This window comes from Homo sapiens, chromosome 2 (assembly GCF_000001405.40).
Source record: "Homo sapiens chromosome 2, GRCh38.p14 Primary Assembly".
In the NCBI taxonomy this organism is placed as follows: Eukaryota; Metazoa; Chordata; class Mammalia; order Primates; family Hominidae; genus Homo; species Homo sapiens.
The window spans coordinates 220,870,139-220,878,107 of NC_000002.12; the positions used below are offsets into that span (position 1 = coordinate 220,870,139).

The 7,969-nt window shown below is 37.8% G+C and overlaps 1 long non-coding RNA gene across 1 annotated transcript in view; it reads left to right on the top strand.

The window, feature by feature from the left end:
* Window positions 1–561, top strand: part of LOC107985990 (uncharacterized) — a 35,076-nt gene extending 34,515 nt beyond the window's left edge. The window contains exon 5 of the long non-coding RNA XR_001739902.1: window positions 470–561. This is a non-coding gene — a long non-coding RNA (uncharacterized LOC107985990). The remainder of the gene's footprint in view (window positions 1–469) is intronic.
* Window positions 562–7,969: the final 7,408 nt, after the last annotated feature.

Consider the following 7,969-nt stretch of genomic DNA (forward strand, 5'->3'; position numbering starts at 1 on the left):
TCAACTTTGATTTTGCATTTGAGCTCTACATGCCAGCAATTTGGGAAAGTTGAAGGCAAAAAATAATATTTTACAAACATTAGAGGAAGTTTTAGACATTAGCATGAAAAAAATGACAAATTTCCCCTGTAAAACCTGCAACAAGATTTTATGCTAGACAGAAAAATAGATACGTAGATACATAGAATTATGCATGAATATATACACATATACATAAAGGAGAAAGATCTTTCAGGCTTTGGGAGAAGAGCCATAGAAGAGATGTATTATTTTATTTATCTGGCTTAAATTCATTTATGCCTCTCATCTCTTTTATATGTTTACTACAACATACAGTTCTGACAATATGGCAAGCTTCATAAGCGAAGAGAATGTATCTTATAAATCTAGCATCCTCTTTAACTCCAAACAGACGATGCTGTACAGAATATGTCCCTGATAAGTAACTATTGATTTATTGATCCTTTAGGTCAATAGCTCCTTGAGCACCAATTGATTCATGAGTAAAAAGAAAGGCCGAGATGTTAGAAGTAACCCACAACTGTGAAGAAAACTATGAATATCAAGGGATGGGCAAGATCAGAGAGTGTGGCATTGAAACTAGTAGGTATGAAAAAGACTCATGGATTTCTGTCTTTGAAATCTAAGGTAAAAATAAATGAAAATCATAACCATTAAGGACTGAAAATCGAACCTAGCTGTTTCATTTCTTTAAAAGCATACTCAATGCAACTATAATATCTACTTAAAATAATACCATACGTGACTATCTTAATAGCATGCACTATTTTCCCCCAGGAACATAAGGAAAGAGATGCCATTTTACTCGAAGCTGAAACCAGACCCACCTGCTGTTAAATATATATATATATATATATATATATATATATATATATATGTATGTATCAGTTTAACTTGTAGATCTAGACGTCTAAAGTAACTAAAGGCCTCTCGTAAAGTACTTGTATTGGCATACTTCATGGCCTCCATTTTGTGCTTGCAATTTTGTACTAATTAGTATTGACCAGCAAAATTATACATATTCCATTGACCCCAAATGATAAGTTTTGCTCACACAACTAAGGCAAAACAATGGCAAGCTTTTTCAGTATTAGGCCCAATGATATTTTTGCAAGAAAATTCTGAAAGGGCAAATTCTTACAAGGAAATATATTGAACTCTTAAAAGCCCAAGAACATTTCTTAATTAAAATGTCATTGCTTGAAAAATTCAATTATGCTTTAATATTTACTCAGCTGGCTCTATTGACATATAGAGATGTACTTCACCATGATGGCAATGTTGAATGGTCTAGAATTTTAATATGCAGAACTTATTAGTGATTATGGAAACCAAGAGGCAGATCAGCAAGGGTCTAAATGACCTAGGTCATAAGTAAAAGTTCTAAGAGAGAAAATGCAAAGATAAAATAACCTGGATTCCTTATAGTATTTATTATTAAAAGTGGAAAAAAAGCACCTGACAGGAAGGCATAAAAGAAAGCATGCTAATATTCTCACATATGAAAGTCAGTTTGCATATGTTTACAAAGATGTTTGAAAGCCAAACCCGGTGTGTGCAGGTGAGGTGTACATTGGGAGAGAAGACTAAGACTGGTAACAATGGCAAACTTGTCTTCAGAAAGAGCATGGCTGGGTTACCCACAAAGGAAGCATGCCATGGAGACTGGAGATGGGAATGGTATCCTGGTTAGTTTTGATGGAGATGGTCAGAACCAGATATTCATATGCTGTTTCTCTTCCCCATACTAGATTCCAGGAGACTGGATACACAGAGGAGTCTCCAAGGACATAGGACACAATCTATTACTAGATAGAATTTTGTGTTCAAATCACCATAGGATATTCTGCACTTGAGAAGGTCAAATGAGCTTAATAAGCCCCAAGCCTCTCTTTACCTTCTTATTGCAAGTTCAGAAACAGGTTACTGGTTCAGAAACAGGTTTAACTGGTCTCTGTCATTGTTCCTTTCACCCAGGCCAGCCCCGGAATTTGGCCCTCTGCATTTCTGTCTTCCTTCCTTCCGGTTTTTTTTTTTTTTTTTTTTTTTTTGAGACAGTCTCGCTCTGTTGCCCAGGCTGGAGTGCAATGGAGCTATCTCGGCTCACTGCAAGTTCCGTCTCCTGAGTTCACGCCATTCTCCTGCCTCAGCCTCCCGAGTAGCTGTGACTACAGGCACCCACCACCACGCACAGCTAATTTTTATATTTTTAGTAGAAACGGGGTTTTGCCATGTTGGCCAGGCTGGTTTTGAACTCCTGACCTCAGGTGATCCACCCTCCTTGGCCTCCCAAAGTGCTGGGATTACAGGTGTGAGGCACTGCGCCTGGCCGGCCCTCTGCATTTCTGCACAGTGAGAAGATGCATGCAAAAGGAAAAAACAGAGCCCTGCAATTCAGACTTGAAACAGATGTGGCCCTCTCCACACACCTTTTCCTGTGGACCTGCCTGTGATTCCTACATGGCCTTCCTAGAATTGGTGATGCTGGATAATCTAGGCCACTGGTTCTCAAATTTAGCTGTATATTGCATCACCTGGGTAGATTTTAAAACTACTGATACCTGGGCCCCACTTCCAGAGATTCTGATTTAATTGGTCTGAGTAATTGCCTGGGCATCAGTTAAAGGGTCTCCAGGTGATTCTAATAGGTAGCCAAGGGTGAGGACAATTGGCCTAGGCCAGAGGCAATACAACAGTTGCAAGCAATGGAGGGACCAGTAAGAGCACCTGCAACGTGGAAAGACAGTCAAGAGAAAGATATGAATAATAATGGGGCAAATGACAGCAAACCATGTAAAGGAGCTTATTTCTTTGCTGCACCATGGAGGACCACTCAATACTAATTCTGACTGCCTAATCTATTTTTTTAACCCAGACTCACCGTGGTGAATAGATACTTCCACCGCAATCAGACTTCTTTAGATGTATAAATGTTTGGTTATTGGCCTTTTCACTTTTATTCAAAAATATAGCCTCTTAATTTAATATACTATCATCATACTCTGTAAGAAAATTGGGACCTGGTTAAAATACATGAGAGGAGAAAAACCTATCCCTTGAAAGAGTAATCTTTAGCAAGTACTATAGGCAGTCAGGATTCATCAGGACAATTTTTTTTAATAAATTTTTTCTAGTGTTATCAAATAGGAGCTGGCCTTTATGACAAAAAATAGCTATGTACTCAGGAAACATGATGAGAAGAAGAAATTGTATAAATAATATGCTTTGAGTGGCAGGAAATAAAACTGAAACTGGTCTAAACAATAAGGAGATTGTATTGGTTCATTTTTATTGCTATAAAGAAATACCCGAGACTTGGTAATTTATAAAGGAAAGGGTTTTAATTAACTCACAGTGCTGCATGGTTGGGGAGGCCTCAGGAAACTTACAATCATGGCAGAAGGAGAGGCAGCCACTTTCTTACTGCGGCGGCAGCAGAGAGAGAGCGTGTGAAGGAGGAACTGTCAAACACTTAACACTTATAAAACCATCAGATCTCATGAGAACTTACTATCACAAGACCAGCATGGGGGAAACTGCCCCCATGATCCAATCACCTCCCACCAGGTTCCTTCTTGAACAGATAGGGATTATGGGGATGGATTATAATTCGATATGAGATTTGGGTGGGGACACAGAGACAAACCATATTCGAGATGTATTGGCTTATATGTAATGGGAAATCTAGAGGCATAAGAGGTTTCAGCTGGCTGGGCGCGGTGGCTCACGCCTGTAATCCCAGCACTTTGGAAGGCCGAGGCGGGCGGATCACGAGGTCAGGAGATCGAGATCATCCTGGCCAACACGGTGAAACCTCGTCTGTACTAAAAAAAAAAAAAAAAAAAAAAAAAAAATTAGCCGGGCGCCATGGCGGGAGCCTGTAGTCCCAGCTACTCGGCGGGCTGAGGCAGGAGAATGGCGTGAACCCAGGAGGCGGAGCCTGCAGTGAGCCGAGACCGCGCCACCGCACTCCAGCCTGGGCGACAGAGCAAGACTCTGTCTCAAAAAAAAAAAAAAAAAAAGGTTTCAGCTGCAGTTTGGTCAGGATTTCAACTCGATTTCTCTACTGTTTTCAGTTCTGTCATCTCTTTTGTATTGGATTTGTCCTCAGGCTAGCTATCCTTATGGGGGCAAAATGGCAGACAGAAGCTACAGAGGAATCTCCTTGGTTGGTGTTTTTCATTTGCAAGAAATTGTATCTTTTGGCTGTGCTCTTGAAGGCATCAGAAAAGTTGTTATATTTTCATTTCAGTCCCCAGAAAACAGCTTCTAAAATCTTATTGTCCCAAATTGGACCACATATCCATCCCTGAATCCATTACCATAGCTAGTAGAATGGAATGGCTTGAGCAAGACAGAGCCCACTCCTGAATCTGGGGGTGCCATCAGGCTTTGTAGAATTATATGAGAGCCCAGATGTAAATTTTTTTAAAAAAGGAAATGAGAAGAAATGGGGCTGGGCAGATAGCAAGCATATGTATAAAATAACTTCTAACAGGGAACCAGGGTAGCTGGGTTCCAATTTAAATTCTACTAGTTTTGTGTCCTTGGTAAACAAGTCACTTTTATTGTTCAAATGAGTGTATTTGACAAGGTGATCTGATTTCTAAGGTCTTGTTAAAACCTAAAATCTTAACTTTATATCTCTAAAATATCTTGTGCCTGAGATACTGGCTTTCAGTTCTATTTTGGGGGACACATTTAAAGAAATAGATTTGGCCGGGCGCGGTGGCTCACGCCTGTAATCCCAGCACTTTGGGAGGCTGAGGCGGGCGGATCACGAGGTCAGGAGATCGAGACCATCCTGGCTAACACGGTGAAACCCCGTCTCTACTAAAAATACAAAAAATTAGCCGGGCGTGGTGGTGGGCGCCTGTAATCCCAGCTACTCGGGAGGCTGAGGCAGGAGAATGGCATGAACCCAAGAGGCAGAGCTTGCAGTGAGCCGGGATAGCGCCACTGCAGTCCAGCTTGGGCGAAAGAGTGAGACTCCGTCTCAAAAAAAAAAAAAAAAAAAAAAGAAATAGATTTGATTTATGGTCTGGGGCAAAATTGTAAAAGGAAATTAGAAGAATGTTTCCACTTTCCTTTGGTAACACAGGCACCTCTGGTCTTTTTAGCATCTACTGATGGAGTCAACTACTGGCTTCTTTTTTACTATTTCTCTGAGTGACTGATAAATGAGAGCAATTTCTCTGACTTGTATAAGAAAGGATTTTCTTATATTTGTTTTAAGACTTCCTAGAATGATTCACTTTCCTACCACCATTCTGTTGCACTTGCGAAATGTTATGTGACACTGCTAAGGTAAATTTATTGAGGCTCTCAATTTTAATTAGTTTTTTTCTCATATTTTCTCTGAAAAGTTAATCCCCTTTTAATGAAATTGTAAAATATAAGCAAATCTTACATGACACTTTTATCACCTGCTCATTTGAGATCAAAAGTCTAACTGTATTGCCTTCTAAAATTCTACCAAATTTTAAGTGCATATTAAGATGGTAATTTTTATCTCAGATCAATGGTTGAGCTTTAATTTATTTGAGCAAAATAAAACAATACAGATGATGGTTTATTGCTGTATTTCAACATATTTTATAGTACTAAGATATTATCGTAGTGATTTTTATCACTGTTTGAAGTAAAGTAGGAAGCAGATTCTTAACTTGAAAACTTAATGGGTCTAAATTTTCCATCAGAAAATAATCTACCAAATAACATCTTCATAATGAAAAAGGGATTTGCTCTCATCTCTCTCCCAAGTTTTATGATGTAAAATAGTACCCACTGTTACATGTGAGTGATTGTAAAAATCTAGCACATGTGAGAGTTTGCTGGAATAATAGTATTATTCCTTTAGCTTAGTGCTAAAGAAAATATTTGTACTCTAATCTCTGTTCTGAATTTTCCAACTATTTCTTACATTGAAGACCTGAAATGGCATGTTTGTCTCCATGAACAGTGCAATGGTATCCTCCATTTAATTTGGGCACCCAGTTTATATTGTTTTAGCTTTCTTCTTTATTTATGATCAAAGTATAGGTTCACTTTGTAGCCTTATGCTGACAATTTACAACCAGCTCATAAATGCCCTATCTTGTGATTTATGGTGGGCCTCCTACTTGCTGTCCATGACCTCTTTCTCCCAGGTCCCCACTCATTGCTCATCTCAGGCAACCAGTTGAAATTCATTAGCTTAGGTATCTGTTGGAAAAGGAAAGCCAGCGTTTAAACAATGTCTACATTATCTCCAAGCTCTTGAAGCCAGTACGTCAAAGGAGTGAAATATAATGATTTGTAATGATTGGGTCTGCCAACTGCTCAGAGTAAGACTCAACTTTGTTGATAAGTGTAGCTAACACTTATCAGAGGCAAAACAAAAGGCAAAACTAGTGTTGGTAATGAAATTAATTGAGAAAAAGCCAGTCTAACTGTCAAACTAGAAGAACCTTGAGAAGAAAGGCAGCTTCTAAAGGTCAATACTCAGCGTGCTGTAATCTTTACCATCTGTGTTCAGGCTGGTAAGATTCTGAGACTGTCATATGTAGCCCTTTTTCTGAAAATAAGAGACAAGGGAAAAAAAGGCTTGCCCAACAGGGAGCCTGGATGTACTTAGCTGGATAGAAAATGAAAACACTATATGGTATAAACTTAGGATGACCCTTAATTTTTCTTCCCCTTGACCTACATGGGTCCACAGATAGTTTCAGAAAAGCAGCGCCATGGCAAATTGGAATAATTCCGTCACCAACGAAATGTAATATTATATTTACAAGGTGGAACACTAGGCAGCTCGATTCAATATGAACACCCTCTATCGTCTGACTCTATCTGATGAAGGCTAACAAGGCCATCACCATGTTTTCCTAGTAAGAAAGTTTTTTTACGTAAGTGGAAAAATGGACTTGGTTTCTCTTTACTTGAAGATTTGAAAAATATATAGAAATCTAGAATGTTGTGATTCTATATATAGTGGCATAGCTTACTCTTATTAGAACAATATTTAGAGGTTTGGTATTATATAGGCTTTTTAGAAGACTTATACCAAATATACCAGATGTTTATTACTACAAGGGATAATTTCATGCACTCTCATTTCTTAAATCAGTAGTGTTTTCACATAATGGAAAATGATCAAAGAATAAATAAAAATATGTAATATTCATATACATATAAATGTATATGATTGTATATATATGCATATATGTGTATGTAAAAATTATATAACATATATTATTTATTAGCTAAATCATGAATAAACTTTAAATGATTCTATCGAAACTTTGTATATTCTAATTAAAGTATAAAATACTATTGTTTTACCTCCCTCTATTATATACAAAGTACAATGTTTTCAATATTGTTCATATAATATCAATTTCTATTTTTTTCTAAAAATCCAATCCTTCAGAGATTTTTCAGCTTTAACTTTTCCTGTTGCACTACCTCCATCTCTAGATGACCTCATCTATAGAGCTCATTTTTTATGCATACGACTTCATTTTATACTCACAACATCCCGAGGATTCATGAATACACATATGACTTCAAAGATCCATGATACTGTCTTATAATAAATCATTTCCCTGGATTCACTGGTGCTATTTTAACCATGAGAGGGGTGGCAGGTTTTACAAAGTATGCTGCCATCTAAACTTCATAAATAAAGCTGTAGGTTAACTGATTTGTTTTTCTCTTCTGTGATTTCCTTGATTTGTTTTAGAAACACAAAAAAGGAATTTCTCGTCTCTGCAACATTTGTCACTGCTTCCACAGCCTCCCAGGAAAATAGGATCCATAAAATCTTAGACATAAAAAATAATAACACTCTCCAAATGCTAGTTAATAAAATGCTCCGCCTCTTTAGGAGAAAGAGATATTTTATTTGTATTCATTAGGGTGACCTAACCACTCACTAGTACACTTTATTATACCTCTCCTGTGTGAT